The sequence below is a fragment of the Homo sapiens genome, chromosome 14 (genome assembly GCF_000001405.40).
Source record: "Homo sapiens chromosome 14, GRCh38.p14 Primary Assembly".
Lineage (NCBI taxonomy): Eukaryota > Metazoa > Chordata > Mammalia > Primates > Hominidae > Homo > Homo sapiens.
Genome location: NC_000014.9, coordinates 39,291,883 through 39,311,494, shown reverse-complemented (window position 1 = coordinate 39,311,494; position 19,612 = coordinate 39,291,883). Strand labels below are relative to the sequence as shown.

General features: G+C 34.9%; 1 protein-coding gene across 62 annotated transcripts in view; it reads right to left on the bottom strand.

The window, feature by feature from the left end:
• MIA2 (MIA SH3 domain ER export factor 2) overlaps positions 1 to 19,612 on the bottom strand; it is a 154,608-nt gene that overhangs the window by 77,028 nt on the left and 57,968 nt on the right. For 38 of the 62 annotated variants that reach the window (XM_024449594.2, XM_047431398.1, XM_024449596.2 and 35 more), the window contains 8 exons: positions 18,114 to 18,224; positions 17,424 to 17,495; positions 16,466 to 16,570; positions 11,509 to 11,631; positions 9,246 to 9,366; positions 7,971 to 8,017; positions 7,114 to 7,204; positions 2,908 to 3,046 (listed from right to left, as the gene is read on the bottom strand). In XM_024449594.2, the coding sequence (XP_024305362.1) occupies positions 2,908 to 3,046; positions 7,114 to 7,204; positions 7,971 to 8,017; positions 9,246 to 9,366; positions 11,509 to 11,631; positions 16,466 to 16,570; positions 17,424 to 17,495; positions 18,114 to 18,224 (809 nt within the window). Of the gene's footprint in view, positions 1 to 2,907; positions 3,047 to 7,113; positions 7,205 to 7,970; positions 8,018 to 9,209; positions 9,367 to 11,508; positions 11,632 to 16,465; positions 16,571 to 17,423; positions 17,496 to 18,113; positions 18,225 to 18,788; positions 18,816 to 19,612 lie in introns of those variants that run through there. The other 24 variants (XM_024449592.2, XM_024449595.2, XM_024449593.2 and 21 more) reach the window with 3 other exon arrangements.

Here is a 19,612-nt window from a genome sequence, read left to right as displayed (position 1 = left end):
CCAAAAAAAAAAAAAAAAAAAAAAAAAAGCAACACATCAAGCTTCTAGGTCCTACCATTTCATTTGTTTCCATTATTAAATTTGGGAAAATGGTATATCAGTCATGAAAAACATCAAGCCAACATCCAGACTGAACTTAAATTATACTATATGCAGCAAGAATATAAATTTAACACTTCACTGGTACTATCAACTCAATATTCTACTCTGAAGAAGTGCCAATGGCATAATTCATTGAATTTCAGTAATATAAACTACTTGCTAGTTAAATATAAGAAGGAAATGTAAAATATTTTAGGAATTTAAAATAATTTTAAACTAATGAATGAAATCCTGTGAACAACACACACAACTAGGGTACTACTCAGTTTCCTATCCTTCCTTTAAAAATCTAAAGAAAATACCTTTTCTTTGAAATGTTAAACATTACTCATCAAAATTCTATAATCAACCATATACTTTTTTTATTCAAAAGATACACTCAAAAATATTTCTTTCACCTCAATCACTTTTATATCCAAGTTTTACTTTAATACCTTTCATTCTAACCTAAAAAGAAGGGCCCACTCCTAGGTATACTGGCTGAAAAACCCTGAAGTTATACTGTAATTCTTCCATTTTGTCACGTTTAGTCTCTTGCATACCCTGAGCAGTCCCAAAGGGCCAAAGGGCCATAACAAATAACAGCTTTTTAACTGTGAACTGAATCCAAATCATGACTGAAGTACAGAACTTGGCAGTGAATGAGCCAAGCACTACCCAGCATCCTGATCTCAAAGAAGCATTAGTACTCTCTACCAGTTTCCAAATAGATAAAGTAGATTCTCATTATTTGTGCTAGTTTTGTTCCATAAAGTCACTATACATCGTAAATTAGCAAATACTAGATCACTGCTCCTAAGGGTAATACAGGGTTAGCTTCCTGCTACAGCCTCTGGTCACAACAATTTTATCAACCAATCAATATATAACCTTGTTTTTTTGTGTGCTTCTGTTTAAAGATACTTTCTTTAATATATATTGTTAATTTATTGACATTGAACTCACAGCCAAAAGCACTGTAATTCATGCCTAAACAAAGTTTATCTAACACATGTATTTTCTCCATAACACATATCACAGCATTCTTGTGCTTAAAAACACTACATAGCAGTTCAGCACTATGCTTAGGGGGCATTTTAAACAGCTAAATCACCAGCAAAAAGCATAAAAATGTAAAAAATGAGGCACTAAATATACTGTAAAAAGGACACCTGTTTACAGAATGAGAGCTGAAACAAGAAAGCAGAGTGTCACCTTGTTTGACCTCAGCTGGGAACATGCACATTGGGCAACTCAAATTTTTCATCATTCTGAATATGTCCATGAATGGCTACAAAAGCTTTGCATGTACTGATCTGATTTACAAATAAATTTTAGCTAGTAAGTCAATTCACAAATACAGATTCTATAAATAATAAGGAACAACTGTAATAACTATCATTAAGAGCCTAAAGGAACCTGAAAGTCTGTTACATTTTATTACCCTTTATGATAAAAAAAAAAAAAAATACATGCCATGGCACTATTTGAAAATCTAGAGTCTTCAGATATCTCAAGGGTCTTCAGTGTACTTAGGCATTTAGGCAACAGCATGTACACACACACACTCCTTCACTCCAATATATAAAGGCACTGAACATATTTGTACATATATTCAACAAACATGTACTGAACAGTTACCACACGTCTCATGTAGCTTTAGGCACTGGGAATACAGAAGTGAAGAAAATAATTTTCTCTCAGAGCTTGTATTTAACATAAGGAAGATAAAAGAAAGAAAAGCAATCAATCAGAGGACAATAAGAGCCATGAGGCAAAATAAGGGAATAAAGAGTAGCAGGTATTATTTTAGTTAGAGTAGCCAGGGAAGGATTCTTTGAGGTAACATTTGAACCCAGGCCTAATAAAATGAAGAACTGAGCCATTCAAATATATAAGGAAACATCATTCCAGGCAGAAGGAACAAGCACAAAAGACCCTAAGGTCAATGTGCTGAAGAGCATCAAAAAGGCCAGTGCTGGATGGAGGGTACTGAGAGGAAAAAGAACATGAATAAGCTAAAATTAAAGAGGTGGCCAAGGGTCCAATCCTGTACTGTCTTGTAGGCCAAGATATAAAAGCTGTGGGTTGAGTGTGATATAAAGGCACTCAGGGATTTTGAGCACGAGAGTGACCATACTCACAATTCACATTTTAAGGGTCATCCTGCATGTTGCAGAGAAAACACAGTGCAGGAGAAAGGGCGGAAAGAAGGAGACTACCCATAAGGCTACTATAATAAGCCGGGTATTAACTGTTGATGACTTGGACTAGACTAATATGGAAGATGGTAAAAAGTGGTCAGATTCAGGCTATAAAAAAGCTGACAGGATTTAATGACAGAATAAATAGGAGATATAAAAGCAAGAGAGAAGTCAAAAACAGCTTGAGGTGCCACCCTAAGTAACTAAGTAAAGGACACTGCCATTTACTAAGCCAAGGAACACCTGGGCAGAAGCAATTTGCACAGAACAGAAAAATCAGTTTTACATATATCAGAGATGGAATTAATGGGCAGTTTAATCAAGAGTGTCCATTCAGATTCCCTGCCAGTATTAGGAAGTTTAAGGCAATAAGTTGCTGACTACTTACTAGGAGCTAAAGAGGATTCTGTTAACTAGCTTGGAAATTCCAACATCACTTACAATATTTTCTTTGTTGAAAAAAAGTGTCTCCAGATCAAATACCTTTCTTAAAAATAAGTTGATGAAATACAATCTAATCATAAATTGAGAACTTTCAATAATCACTATAGCTAACTATGTAACATATATCTCTAAAGCTATTTTACTTGCTGTTCAATGGAGTTAACATAATTTTTATTACCTGTGGAGTTTCATTTCATTTTCTTGATATAATTCAGTCATTACTTTAAGTTTCTGTTGAAGCTTCTGATTCTCATTTTCAAAATGTGTGTTTTCTGACTGCAAAGATGCTTGTTCAGTCTGAAGATTTTTAATATGCTCTATATAAAAATTTTAAGTCATAATTAAAGGAGAAACATTTTGAGTTGCATATTAACATTTCAGAAAGATAAAAATTACTAAAAATAATAAATTATTAATAAACTAAACTCTTTCCAATAACAGAAAATCTATAAGGGATTCTGTTTACCTAAATGCTTTTATTGTTATTAGTTGATTGACACATAAAAATTGTACATATTTATGTGGTACAGTGTGATATTTCAATATAGGTATTCGATGTGTAATAATCCTATCAGGGTAATTAGCATAACCATCGCCTCTAACATTTGTCATTTCTTTATGTTATGAACATTCAAAATCCTCTCTTCTAGCTATTCAAAAATAACAATATGACAAATAAAGTAGATCTAAGAAAAAGAAATATAAATATACAGCAACTTAACTAACCACTCTACAGTGCTATAGAACATTAGAAATTGTTCCACCTATCTAGTTATAATTTTGTATCTGCTAACTAACCTCTCCCTAACCCCCTACCCTCTATACTTCCCACCCTCATATTACTATTACTATTCCACTCTTTACTTGTATGAGATCAACTTTTTTAGCTCCCATATATAAGTGAGAACATGAGCCATTTCTCTTTCTCGTGTGGCTTATTTCACTTAAAATAGGCTCACTCATGTTGCCACAAAACAGGATCCCATTATTTTTTGATGGCTGAATAGTGCTCCATTGAGTGCATTAATATCTGAATTAAGGAGCTATATAAATTGTTTTAATTTTGGCCGGGCACGGTGGCTCACGCCTGTACATCTCAGCACTTTGGAAGGCCGAAGGGGGTGGATCACTTGAGGCCAGGAGTTCAAGACCAGCCTGGCCAACATGGCAAAACCATCTCTACTTAAAATACAAAAATTAGTCAGGCGTGCTGGGGCGTGCCTGCAATCCCAGCTACTTGGGAGGCTGAGGAAGGAGAATTGCTTGAACCTAGGAGGCAGAGCGTGCAGTGAGCCAAGATCACGCCACTGCACTCCAGCCTGGATGACAAAGGGAGACCCTGTCTCCAAAAAAAAAAAAAAAAAAAAAAAAAAAATTCTTTTAACTTTTGTTATTATTTATAGGATTCCCAACACCTTCAACATTCTAATTCTAGCATCTAATTTTCAATTTTAGAGCTAAACGCCACTAAAGTTCTCAGGAAGGTTTTGGAGATAAGAGTTTTAAAGGGAGATATTGTAGTTCAACATTCCCCGTAAAACTATTTCCAGGTGATGAATAATGCCTGTTTTTATCTAGTAAAAACTTTCTCTCTTAATAATACTTAAATTCTACCTAGCCCTCCCTTTTAAGCTAAAATTTTGACATATAAGTCAAGCCAGAAATCTAGATCTTCTCATAACAAATGCCCAAACATACTCCTAGTTTAAAACAGATCAAGACCAGAGAGAAAAATACCAACTTTAAGCGTTGTTTCAACCGCTAAGCCATCTTTAAAAAAATCTATAAAATAAAAATGAATCATTCTAAATAATTATGAATGCTTTATAATTTATGCATCAATTTTTTTAAAAACCTCGTTTCTCTTCTAACATAATTACCTCAACTCTGAGCGCCTCTAAAATTGAAGTACCAACTCTGAACAACTCTAACATTAAGGTATCAAGATAATAACCTCAACTCCTCTAAGATGAAGGAAGGCATCATCTCCTGTAACGTGTATATGAATCACCACCACAAATCTTAAAAGACAAAACTCACTCTGCCTAAAGAGGGAAGTTTTGGAAACAGTATTAACAAGCATGAAAATTTTAGTAATTACATGTAATGGTATTTAATTATTCTAAAACCCTCATGATATGGTTTGGCTTTGTGTCCCCATCCAACTTTCATGTTGAATTGTAATTCCCAATGTTAGAGGTGGGGCCAGATGGGAGGTGATTGGACCAAGGGGGTGGTTTCTAATGGTTTATCACCATCCTCCTAGCGCTGTCTCCCCCTAGATGATAGAGTTCTCATGAGATCTGGTTGTTTTAAAGTGTGTAACACCTCCCCCTTCACTCTCTTCCTCCTGCTCCCACCATGTAAGGAAGCTACCCCTTCACCTTCCACCATGACTGTTAATTTCCTGACACCTCCCCAGAAGCAGAAGCCTGTACAGCCTGCAAAACCATGAGCCAGTTAAACCTCTTTTCTTTACAAACTTCTCAGTTTCAGGTAGTTCTTTACAGCAATGTGAGAACGGACTAATATAACCCATTAAACATACAAACCAAAAGAACAGTTTACATAAATACCTAAACATTAAATGATTAAATGTATAGGAAATTGTACGTAACTATCTTTCCACAGAAATTTTTTAATCTACATCAGAAAAAAAAAAATTCATTGACCTAGGCTTTAAGCCATTGCCAAGAACAATCACGTAAAGAAATTAACGTTGGGTATTATCTCTATTAAAATTTAATCATCCCTATTGTAAAACAAACAAGAAAACTACAACCCAACACTTAATTATTTAATATATTTATGTACTTTTTTTTTTTTTTTTGAGACAAAGTCTCGCTTGGTTGCCTAGGCTGGAGTGCAGTGGTGCAACCTTGGCTCACTGCAACCTCCACCTCCCATGTTCAAGCGATTCTCGTGCCTCAGCCTCCCAAGCAGCTGGGATTACAGGCATGTGCCACCACGCCCGACTAATTTTCGTATTTTTAGTAGAGACAGGGTTTCACCATGTTGACCAAGCTGGTCTTGAACTCCCCAGCTCAAGTGATCCACCCACGTTGGCCTCCCAAAGTGCTGGGATTATAGGCGTGAGCCGCCGCGCCTGGCCATATTTTTGTACTTCTACTGTGTTTCAAATTGTAACATAAAGACCACTGTAAATGATTACCAGAAAAGGAAGAAACAGTTTAGAGGAAAATCTTCATGCTATGAATAAAACATCAATTACAGAAATTTATCTTTCATGATCCATTAAAAAAACAAAGTTAGATTTGAAAGAAGAGTACAAGGAGACATAGGTCTCCAAGTATTAGTCTAAGAAAGAAACAAAGATTTGCCAGGAAACTGTATTAAGGAGTGGGATAACTGGTGAGCAAATTTCCTTGCCACTCTGGCACTTTCTACACACATTTTTTGAAATACAGCTTCCTTGAAAGTAAGCTATCTTTTCCTTCTGTATATCTCCCATAGTTTTTAGTACAATGCTTTACATATAGCAACATTCTCTTAAACTAATACTAATGTTTCTTGAAATCCAAAAATAATCCAATTACTATAATCATGTGAGTAGGGATATAATTTTTTAATAACCTCTATCTTTGGTGGTTCAATCTTTTAAAACAGTATTATAAATGCAGTTCACTTACTGTAGAAGTTTTTGAAAATACAGATAAGTAAAAAGAATATAAAAATCTGCCCATAATCCCATATTCAGAGATAATCATTGTTGACATTTGAGTATGTCCTTCCAGTCTTTTCTGATGCAAACGCATATGGTAAATCTTTATATTTTTTATTTTTACAAAATGAGATGCTATTTATCTCAACTTTAAAAATTTTCAAACATATTGACAGAACTTGTTTACTTTTTGAAAATACAAACACTATCAGCAAAATAAACATAAATGTTTTCAATTAAAACAACACCTTCATTTCTACAGGTCTAACATCACTCTCGTATGTACTAATATACTACGTATGTACATTAAAGGAACGAATCATACTGCAAATAGTACCACTATTGAAGATCAATTTTTCAATTAACAAAGACTTTAAACATTAAGTTTCAATTTGCTACTTTTTAACATCTAAAACCATTCAAACACATAACACTGTAATTCGAAGATAAATACGGTTTTACATGTTTTTTAAAAAATTTCCTTATTTTAACTTCACATAAATACAGAGGAAATCGATATGCCTTTAGCAACAATGACAACAAAAACCAGGACTAATGTTTCACAAATACCCAACAGGAACAAAAGTTAAAAAAAAATAAAATTGGATCTTCCCAAAGTTAATTCAATTCATTTTTACCATTCTCTGCCAAGAGATGTACTTACTTAGAAAAACATTAAAAGTATGTATGTCAATGACCTACCTGTAAGCTCTTCCTTTGTTTTATCAACTTCAGACAACTGAATATAAATTTGGTTTCTTTCTCCTTCTAAGGTTTTTAAAGAAGCATTTAACTTTAAAGAAGGGAAGAAGGAAAAAAGTAACATTAATCAGTTATACAAAAAAATAAAAATAAAAAATAAAACCTCAGTATGACCCCCCTAACACTTTTTAAGTGATTTTATCGTTTTGATGAAATTATCACCTGGAATACAGAAACCATAATGCAGCTTCCGTCTTAAAAAAACCAGCAAAGTCGTCAATGCTTGTAAGTCTCAGAACAAGGGACAGGGAAAAGTAGTGAATGCTTTTCACTGGCTGCTTAAGAAAGTGACTATTTTCATTCTATTTACTTTCAACAAAAGTTTTTATTAAAGCAGCCTTCAAACTACATTACCAAGACTTCACATAGATCAGCAAAAATGAGGATACCACACTACTAGGGTGGAAAAGAGAAGGAATAAACCAGAAAAAAAGGCATCTAGTATTTACTTAAAATAGGATATAGGGCAGAAGGGGTAAGAAAATACTGAGACTAGAAGAAAAAGAATGCACTGAGGGAACTACAAGATAAAATACAGGAAACATTTTAAATATAGTCTTATCCGAAAAATGAGTACAGAACTTGGAATTTTTTATTTTGATAAATTCCAAAAATTATATAAATTTCTAAAGTTAATAATTGAAAGGAAAAAGCAATTGATGATGAAAATTCTGATAATTTGTAAATATATTTATATGGGAACAATAAAATGGACTTTTTAAACATTTACTGGGACATGAGTAATCCACGTTCTCTTTCTTCCTCCTTATTCTTTTTAAGTATCTAATAGCACAAACCTTAGCAGCATGAATCAGTTTCTTCAAAGCTCCTTTTGGAGGATTATCTACAGTGAAAATCAAAAGCACAACAATGATTTGGGAAAATAGTACAATACGACAATAGACATCAAAATGATTTTATCAGTTCACTAAACCAGAAACTTATAATCCCTCTTCTTGCTACAATAAAGAATTTGGTATAAAGCAGAATGGCCTTGGACCTGCTCCCAGGAAGCTAAACAATAAAAGCACTGAAGTGTCATACCATTTAACAAGGTTCTTCAGCTCTAACTCCAAGAACAGAGTTATAACAAGGATTCTATATTCATCTAAATATAGACCACAATCATTAACTATTCTTGGATTCTTACAGCATCCAAAATATGAGTAAAATTATAACCCAAGTTAAAATAACATTAAACAAGCATGAGTTTTCTCAAATAGAGAAAGGATTATTTTATATATAATAAAGTAGAAATGAAAAAGTACAAACAGAACTTTATATACTTATTTTAGGGATGTAATTTTTTCCAACATATTAATGTTGTCACGAAAAAAATTTTTAATCACACTTTTTCCTCCATAATAAATTTGTTAATTATGCAGGGGCTGGGGAAGAGAACAGAAAAATGACATAAAAGTCTGAAGAACTGCCACTGGGGTAAAATGAGAGAGGGGTACATGGGACCTCTGTACTAGTTTTAGAACTTCCTATGATGCCATATTTCAAAATAAAAAGGTTTTTTTTAGGTCAAAGGAATTGGTGTGAGAATACATTAAGGGGCTATAGTGAAACTAAATTTGGCCACTTTTGCCAACTTCAGAGCACAACCATCAATGGCAATAATAATTTGAATGGCTAACATTAAAAGTACTGTAACCATCTGAACCTCTGACAAAAGCAAAAGAAGTATCCTGAAGTATTTATAGAACACTTGTTCTTCAAACTAGTCATTCATCCATTTGATTAGCTTACAGTACAGGGAAAAACAGGCATTGAAATGATTATGATGTAATTTTGAAAATGGCTATAATAAAGATATGTATAATACACAAAAAAAAGGGAGGAGGCTGTAAGTGTGTCTGAGCAGCTGGAGAAAGACTTACTGAAAAGGCAGTGCTCCAGCTGAAGCTAAAAACTATAAGGGATGGTGAGAAAGGACAGTGTGTCACAGACAGACAGAATGTGCCAAAGTAAAAGCATATAAAGAACATGGTGCACACAGGGAACGAAAAGGAAATAGAAGAGCTAGTCACCATTTTAGCAAAAGGAGATGAGTCATGACTTAATACCTAAGTAAGCACCATTTTCCGATTCACTGTTCATTTCTAATTCCAAGTTATCATCATCCGTTATGTCTTCTCCAAGCATAGCAGCCCAATCTTTCATCTTTAACAAGCGTTCAGTCAGAGTCTTGACATTGAACAAAGGGGAAAAATAGAGAGGGTAATGCCTTATGCTAACAGCTTTACAACTTGTGAATGTACAGTTATAGTTTAAAAATCAGTCCACATAAATAACAACACAAGAGCTCTTATTTTCCACCTCTTATTAAGATATTGTAGTCTTGAGAAATGGTAACATTTATTGACTATTAAACTCTGCAAGTAAAAGCCAAAACTAGTTATTCCCAAATCAAATATAGTACATATTAATATTATGCAACTAAAAAGTAGTAAAATATTTTTTATATGACATTTCTCACATGCCACAAATAACAGTGCCCTAATTAACATGAGAGTAAATTCTGTGTGACACCAAACACATCTGCAGTGAGATACATAATGTATAAAAAGATCGTAGATTTTTAGTTGATTTATTCAAGGAAACAATTAGCTGAGATAAAGACATTTATAAAAGAGAATTTGAATGGAACATTAGAGGTTTTCCAAAAGTACTTTTTGAATTTTGTTGATTAAAGAAATATTTTCTAACACTACAGATAATCAAATGACGTGTCATGTATTCCTCTGGAGGGACCCACCTAAAAATAATGCACTGATCTACAATTTTCACCCTTCGATCTCCTCCCTCTCTTCAGAGTTCCAGGCACAAATAACATGGCCTATACCTTTGAGCAGAGCTTGAGGTTAGCATCTCATTCTTGTTATCTTTAAAAGAATCCCAAAGCCTTTAGTAGAGGAAGTTTAGAAAAAATAAATAAAACAATATGCCACAGCCAGATGCGGTGGCTCACGCCTGTAATCCCAAAACTTTGGGAGGCTAAGGTGGGCGGATCACCTGAGGTCAGGAGTTCCAAGACTAGCCTGGCCAAAATGGTGAAACCGCGTCTTTACTAAAAATACAAAAAAAATTAGCCAGGCATAGTGGCACATGCCTGTAGTCCCAGCTACTCAGGAGGCTGAGGCAGCAGAATCACTTGAACCCACGAGGCAGAGGTTGCAATGAGCCGAGATGGTGCCATTGCACTCCAGCCTAGGTGACAAGATTGAAAGTCCATCTCGTGTGTGTGTGTGTGTGTGTGTGTGTGTGTGTGTGTGTATGTATATGTATATATGTGTGTATATATGTGTATATATGTATATATGTGTATATATGTATATATGTGTATATATGTGTATATGTATGTGTATATATGTATATATGTGTGTGTATATATATATATGCCAAATTCTGAATAAAACTCAGAAAGCTGGAATTTTGAAAATATTCTTAGTAGCAACATAACTGGCATAAATGTATCACTTTCTTTATACTATTTTTTATTATATTTTAAGTTCTGGGATACACGTGCACAATGTGCAGGTTTGTTACATATGTATACCTGTGCCATGTTGGTGTGCTGTACCCATTAACTCGTCATTTACATTAGGTATATCTCCTAATGCTATCCCTCCCCCCTCCCCCCACCCCACAACAGGTCCCGGTGTGTGATGTTCCTCTTCCTGTGTCCAAGTGTCCTCATTGTTCAACTCCCACCTATGAGTGAGAGCATCACTTTCAATATGACAACATCCACATCACTGTGTAAATTATAGAACGTTAGTTTTACATATCATTATTTGATACACTTGAGTATCTGTATTTATCAGCATTAAGATTTTTAAAAATCTTAAAAATCTAAAAAATCAAAAAATCCTTTTATTCTTATGACTGGAGTCAAGTTTCAATTAAATTTATTTTTTAAAAGTATTCCTCTCCATCAAAGTACATACACCAGTTACATTAAAGATATTCAATTAATATATATAACTATACATCCAATTTCTCAAACTCTTCCAACCTCCTAACAGGAGCAGATAGCATCCTGAAGAGAAATGGTAGAAACCATTATTTTTATTTCTTTATTAAATACCTAGGCTAAAATACAGAGAAGAAAAAAGGACACACAGAATATTCATATAAGTATGTGTGTGTGTATGTGTATGTACATATGACAAATCTGTAAGTCTTCAAGAAACATTTGAAAATCTGGCCAAATATGTTATGAAAATATGTTGTGAAAATAAAAGTTGCTAAAAACTAGCTTTCAAATTTCAGAGTTAGTGTAAAATTCTAGCCAACTTGATCACTAAAACCAGTAGAGCCATTTACCTTGATGTGACTTTCTTTATCATTTAGAACTTGTTCTGCATGTACTTTGGAGTCTTCAAATGTTACTTTCTGTTTATTAAGTTCACTCACTTGTTCTTTCCATACTTCAGCTTCTTGCAAAAGCTGAAAATGAAAATTTTAAAAATGCAACTCATCACACAAGTGAATCATTAAAAGATACCAAGAAGGCATTATGTAGCTACTTAAAAAAGAAAAACATGGCTCCTATTTTCAAAGAACTTTCAAAATGGGGTAGTGTAAAATAACACACACATTCTTCAACTAGTTTATATCATATATTTATATCAAATAAAGGTTTCCTGAGATATACATATCTTAGATTTGATCATTTCTTACCATTCCTTATATCCCATATAAAATATCATACCTTACTTGCATTAAAATTTATTTTTTAAATCATTGTGCAATTTTGTACTTAAAATAACTAACCTTTAGAAATACCACCATCCTGGCCAACATGGTGAAACCTCGTCTCTACTAAAACACAAAAATTAGCTTGGCATGGTGGCACGCGCCTGTAGTCCCAGCTACTCAGGAAGTTGAGGCAGGAGAATCGCTTGAACCCAGGAGGCAGAGGTTGCAGTGAGCCAAGATTGCACCACTGCACTCCAGCCTGGCAACAGAGCGAGACTCCGTCTCAAAAAAAAAAAAAAAAAAAAAGAAATACCATTAATCTAGAACAGATCAGATTCTCCACAACAGTATTCTACTATATATACTTTTACAGGAAAGGAAAGCCTTTCTGAACATGACAAAAAGTAAAGATCATTATAAAAGGTAGACTTGACTACATAAAGCTTAAAAGCTTCACAAATCAAATATAACACAAATGACATTTAAAGATAAATAACTAGAAAGGAATTATTTCTTTTTTTTTTTTTTTTTTTTTTTTTTTTTAGAGGCAGGGAGGGTCTCATTCTGTCATCCAAGCTGGACCACAATCTCAAACTACTGGGCTCAAGATATTCTCTCACCTCACCCTCCCAAGCAACTAGACTACAAGCACATGTCACATACTCTGCTAATTTTTTTATTTTTATTTTTTGTAGAGTCAAGGTCTTACTATGTCGCCCAGACTGATCTTGAACTCCTGGCCTCAAGTGATCCTCCCACCTGGACCTTCCAAATCACTGAGATTACAGGTGTTACCCACTGCACCCCACCAAGAAAGGAATTCTCATAATATTTGTAGCAAAAGGTTAATAACCTTAGCAAGCAAAGAGCTCTTAGATGTCAATAAGAAAAAATAGGCAAAGAAAAAAGAAGACTGAGCAGGCAATTCACAAAAGAAATGGCTCATATATATGAAAAAGTCTAAATTTATTTAGTCTTTAAAACTCTGTTCTGGCTGACTCTTTTCGGACTCAGCCCGCCTGCGCACCCAGGTGAAATAAACAGCCATGTTGCTCACAAAAAAAAAAAAAAAAAAAAAAAACTCTGTTCTACCAAACAGTAATTATTGGATTTCTCCGCAAAACTAAGGCTTCATTAGCGTATTCCGAACACATGAAAAACTAATCTTTATATATATATATATATATATATATATATAAAACAGAATCAGATGATACAGGTAAAAACAAATGAGAATCCAAGAAAAAATTCACATTTGGTGATTAGGTCATCTCTCATGAGTTAGTAAAGAGACTTAAGTACACAGTATACAGTATTAAAACATTAGAGAAGGAGTGCATTAGAACATGGCATCAGTGAATACAGTTTGTTTCAAGAATTTGGATTATTACAAGGGAGTTAGATGAAAACAGTTGTAAAGAGTAAGACTGATCTAGGTGAAATATTTTCCAAGGTGGAAAAGGCCACTTTTGATCATAACATGGCAAATTTAACACAGGGTTTACCACCACTTTCTACTCAAATCTATTAAAATGGCAGAAAACAGATTTTTTTTTCAAAGGCATAAACCCACAAGGAAAAAAGAAAATAGGAGATGAGACAAAAAATAATTGTAGAAGTAGAAAATGGAAAGAAATGGAAGTGTGATAAAAAGACTCAACCAACTAGAGAGAACTTAAATCTAAGCCTGAAGGTAGGAACACCCAAAAGTAGGCTGATTTGATATACCCTAGAAAGCCTCATGATTTGAAGGCACAAATACCAGGGGTATAAGCAGGACTGGAAAAAAGGAGGACTGGCCAAAAGTCTGTATAAAAAGCAGTTGGAAAGCCTCCCATGACATAAATATATACACATTCTTATTCTCATTCTCTCTCATTCATTCTCTATCTCTGTCTCTTTCACACACACAAACACACACACACACACACACACACACACACACGCAAAACCCTACAGGGTCATTCTTTGGAGAGGTGGAACCTGAGACTCTGGGACATCTATCCAGGTGAAGGTGGAAGTAACATACTGAAAACATAAAAGTATTAAGAGGAAACTGACTACTGAACAGTCAGACACCAGCATTCTTTACCTAAGTTGCAAGACTGTTGGCAAACAGGCTTACACCTCCCAAATGGGAAATGTGGAGGACTCATCCCTGTGGAAATGCTCTTCAGATACCAACAACTGAGAATCCTCCAATTAGAAATACCCTAACCTGGCCAGGCGTGGTGGCTCATGCGTGTAATCCCAGCACTTTGGGAGGCCGAGGCAAGCAGATCACTTGAGGTCAAGAGTTCAAGACCAACCTGGCCAACATGATGAAACCCCATCTCTACTAAAAACATAAAAATTAGTCAGATGGTGGTACATGCCTGCAATCCCAGCTACTCGGGAGGCTGAGGCAGGAGAATCACTTGAACCCGGGCAGCAGAGGTTATAGTGAGCTGAGATAGCGCCATGAACTCCAGACTGGGTGACAAAGTGAGACTCTGTCACAAAAAAAATATATATCCTATAGAAAAGCCCACCAATAGCCGGGCGTGGTGGCTCGCGCTTGTAATCTCAGCACTTTGGGAGGCCGAGGTGAGTGGATCACCTCAGGTCAGGAGTTCAAGACCAGCCTGGCCAACATGGTGAAACTCCGTCTCTATTAAAAATACAAAAAATTAGCCGGGCGTGGTGGCAGACACCTATAATCCCAGCTACTCGGGAGGCTGAGGCACGAGAATCACTTGAACGCGGGAGGTGGAGGTTGCAGTGAGCCAAGATCAGGCCATTGAACTCCAGCCTGATCAACAAGGCAAGACTCCATCTCAAAAACAAAAAAAAAACAACAAAAAGAAAAGATATACCTAATGCTAGATGACACATTAGTGGGTGCAGCGCACCAGCATGGCACATGTATACATATGTAACTAACCTGCACAATGTGCACATGTACCCTAAAACTTAGAGTATAATAAAAAAAAAATAATAAAAATAAAAATTAAAAAAAAAAAAAAAGAAAAGAAAAGAAAACCCCGCCCGTGGCCAGGCGCGGTGGCTCACACCTGTAATCCTAGCACTTTGGGAGGCCGAGGCGGGTGGATCACGAGGTCAAGAGATGTGTAATGATCTGTAATTTCAGAGAAGGGGAAACAATAAAAAGATATTAAAAGCTTCCAGGAGGAAAAAAGCAGATTTCCAAAAATGACCAATTATCTGAATAGCTTCTGACTTCTTAAAAGCAATATTGGAAAGTCAAGACAATGGAGTGACAGTGTCAAAATTTTGAGGAAAAAAAAAATGCCAACCCAGAATATATTCAACCAAAATATCAACAAGTATGAGAAACAAGACATTTCCAGGCATGTAAGTTCTAAAAAAATTATCTCCTATACCTCTTCCTCAGAAAATTAACCAAAAGAATTAACCGCAAAAGGGCTCAGATATGGAAAATAAAAGATCTAACACAGGAGAAAGACAAGAGGAACCTTTAGGATGGGGGTGAAGTGAAATCTTAGGACACAGAACAGAACACACACCTACAGAATAAGTTCTTATGAAACCAAGGGAGGCCAAAGAAAAAACTGCTTCAAGAAAAAAAAAATGCAATTAACAGATTAAACAAAGCATTTGAAGGCATGAATAAGATATCTGTATCTCTAGAAGACAGCATACAGATGAACCGGATAAGTATACAAGAAACAAAACAATTATTAACCCTAAGGAAAATATTGAATAAGACAGAATATGTAATAACAAACCATGAGGCCAGGTGCAGTGGCTCACGCCTGTAATCCCAACACTTTAGGAGGCCGAGGCAGGCGGATCACGAGGTCAAGAGATTGAGACCATCCTGGCCAATATGGTGAAACCCTATCTCTACTAAAAATACAAAAATTAGCTGGGCGTGGAGGCGCGCGCCTGTAGTCCCAGCTACTCGGGAGGCTGAGGCAGAAAAATTGCTTGAACCTGGGAGGCAGAGGTCGCAGTGAGCCGAGATCACGCCACTGCACTCCAGCCTGGCAACAGAGTGAGACTCCGTCTAAAAAATTAAAAAATAAAAAAAAAAGAACAAACCATGTGGCTCTGGTGTGAGTAATATTTGGATAATTATAATAATTTAATCACTGAAAAATTTTCCCACTGAAAAGTTACAATTACATTGGCAAAGGAGAAGAAGAAATATACGTGGGAGTATCTATGTATGTGGGGGAGAAAGAGGGCAAATGTCACATCCTTATGTGATCTGCCACCAGAATTGTTTCTATCTTTAGACCCCAGATCTATAACTTCAATAATCCTCACTCATATTCTCTGTACCCCTTCGGCATGGCTTTAAGAAGTTGGTTATGATTACCAAAATGCTAAATGCCCTGGCTTACTTTCCCTGCCCTGGGGTAGAGGGTGCCAAAAGTATACACTTTTGTATACTATACAAAAGAGACAGACACTGAAATATGTATGGGAGACTGTCCTGCTCTCATGCTCTCAAGGAAAAGCCTATACTTGTCCCTAGCATGGGTCAGTCATGAGGATGACAAGAACATCTATAATTACATATTCACAAGTTGAAGAGTCCCTACGGAGCACAAACCTGTTTCTGGCTTTCCTGAAGTTGAGAATTTTCATTCAAAGCATCTTTTATTGCTATCTTCAGTCGTTCTTCATTCATTTGAAATATCTTGAAGGTCATTTTGGCCTAAGTGAAACAAAAAATGTCAAGTTTGTAACAATTAATTTAATACATAGCTCATCTTTACACATACTCCCTAGAACACAGAATTAAACAAAGGCAAAACCATGCCAATATTAACAGCAGAGGCAGCATGGTGTAGCAGAAAAAAGGCTTGTCTAGAATCCAGGTCTAGTCCTGCCTTTCCCACTAACTTGCTACGATGTGACCTTGGACAAACCTCTTGTAACTTTCTATGTACTGTGCAGCAAATTTTGATAACTATTTATTCTGCCTCCCCTACTAAAATTTAAACTTCCTGGGGACTTTTTTGTCTATTAATGTTAAGTGTCAAGCAACCAGTCCTCAATATATAGTAATAGCTCAATAAACACTTGTCCACTGAAAAGATGAACTTTTCTGAAGCACTTCACGTAAAAAAAAAAAAAATACAAGCTGGGTGTGGTGGCTCATGCCTGTAATCCCAGCACTTTGGGAGGCCGAGGTGGGCCGATCACTTGAGCTCAGGAGTTCAAGACCAGCCTGGCCATCATGGTGAAACCCTGCCTCTACTAAAAATACAAAACTTAGCCGGGTGTGGTGGCACATGCCTGTAATCCCAGCTATTCAGGAGGCTAAGGCAGGAGAACTGCTTGAACCCAGGAGGTGGAGGTTGCAGTGAGCCAAGATCGTGCTGCTATACTCCAGCCTGGGCAACACAGCCATGCTAATTCATTTAGGTATTGTTAAAAAAAAAAAAATACATATCTGGGATCCCCTATATCTCAAATCCTACTATTGTGTCTTATTTCTTAATTTTAAAAAATTAAACTAAAATTATTTCCAAAAGCAACAGACCTACTAGACTAATTCAACTTACTTCAGCTACTTGTGATTTGAGGGATTTTGACTCATCTTCTAGAGACTGTATCCTTTTTGAAATATCCGCCATCTAGAAACACAGTATCAGGCAATTAATATTTACTAAACTCTAGTTTCCAAAATGCCATGTTTATTAGATATACTGTTAACCTAACACTTTAGCTCCATAAGTGAAGCTCAAATTAAGAAACCTTCTCAGTTTATTTAGCCATATGCTAAAAGGGATTTTATATGAACATTACGTAACAATAGTATCTCATAACTTTAATATTTCATAACATTTAAGTTATATAGGCTCAAGATAAGTCCACTAACATGTTTTACTAAATAATCTCACATACATCAAGATTTTCATTAAGACAGGTTTTTTCAAAAGAAAAAGTTTTAATGTTAATATACATGTTAAGTAATTACAAATATACACTATGGACATGATTATTCAGTTTTTATTTACATGAGCTACTTCCATAGTGCATATAGAAAATTTCTATAAAAATATGCAAGAAATTTAACACAGTAACATCTGGGGGAAGTGAAAAGAATGGATCTAGAAAATTTTGCTCTCTACAACCACCTGTATTCTTTACATTTTTTACAATAATGTAATACTTTAACCAGTATCATATTAATTTTTTAAAGCTCAGTAACTTTCTTTTTCTTATATTCTCCTCAAATAAAAAAGCCTTACCAATTCATCTTGTTCAGAATGTTTGGATTTCTCTTCTTTTAACTCTTTTTCTAGACAGAGTATTTCATCCTCAAGTTCAGAATTGGACCTGTTCAGCTTTTCACAGGTTGCCTAAGAGAGAAAGCCAACTTTATTAAACAGATATAAGAATTTTTCATTAGGGAAATCAGACGAGCATAATAAAAAATATGTACTATAAGTTAAATAACTTTCATTTATACATTTGCTCATTTTTATAATATCAAAATAACAGCAATTGTAGCAGTGGTCAGCAAAGTTCTGTAAAGAGCCAGAGAATAAATATTTTAGGCTCGTAGGCCATGCAGTCTTTGTTGCAATTACTCAACTATGCCACTGCAGTGAGAAACAAAAGCAATACCTACATAAATGAGCATGGCTGTGTTCCAAAACAATTTTTTACAAAAAAAAGTGGAGAGCCCATTAGGCACAGTTTGCCAACCTCTGCTTAAAAGCACTATAAAGAAAAAAATGAGAAATAAAGCCAATTTAATACAATTAAAGGCATGACATAAAAAATCAACTAAAAAAAAATCAAGGCTGCTTCATGATAATATTCCATATTGAATTAAGACCTATTTTCTATGACCTTTTTAATTTAAAATGATTAGTTATTGGATTATTCCAAATGGATTTTAAATACTATAATAAACATACCTCTGATATTTGTGATCCTTCAACAAACTTGTTAAAGAAAAATAAACCAAAAGATTCAAAGATTTTAATGCAGGCCAAAATAAAAGCAAAAAAAATACATACTACATTACAGTGATTTAAAAACTTGTTTATACATATTACCCCAAATTTGAATATTTCATTCTAGGAATTCCCTGACCCGAATGAAAATTACTCTACTGGTTTGATTTTATCTACAGATTCAGCTATCATATTTTTTTAAATTGCATCACATTATAGTTTGAATTCAATTATGATTACTATTACTGAAAATACTATGCTAAAAAATTACTGAAATTGAAGAAAAATTTCCAAAATGTTGAATGCAGCTAAAAATTCAGCTAATTTTACTCCTATAATAATTCATTACCTTGAAAATAAATTGATGTGTAATATTTTATCCTCAGTATTACCAAGCTTGAGTAAATGTCTTTGCTACCTACTTTTTGCTCTTCTGTTAGCATGTCAAATGCCTTCTAAAATTTTTTTATCAAACATAAATTACTAATGGAAGGGTAGTTAAGACAGAGGGTTAGCAAATAAAATATAATTTCAACAAGTTCTTGAAGATAGTAATAGGCAACAAATGAAGAAAACATTAAGAAACTTATTTGGAATCCAATTTATAACTTCCTTTGGACTCTACTAGAAAATTCTGAATCATAACACATAGAGTTTCTGATGATTACGGAGAGCAGTGATTGAGAACTGCCACACTGTACTAGACGCTTATCAAAGGTACAAGGTCTACTGTTTTCTGTTTTAGTATCTGCAGACGCAGGTGTCCTCTGCTATCCTTTGTCACT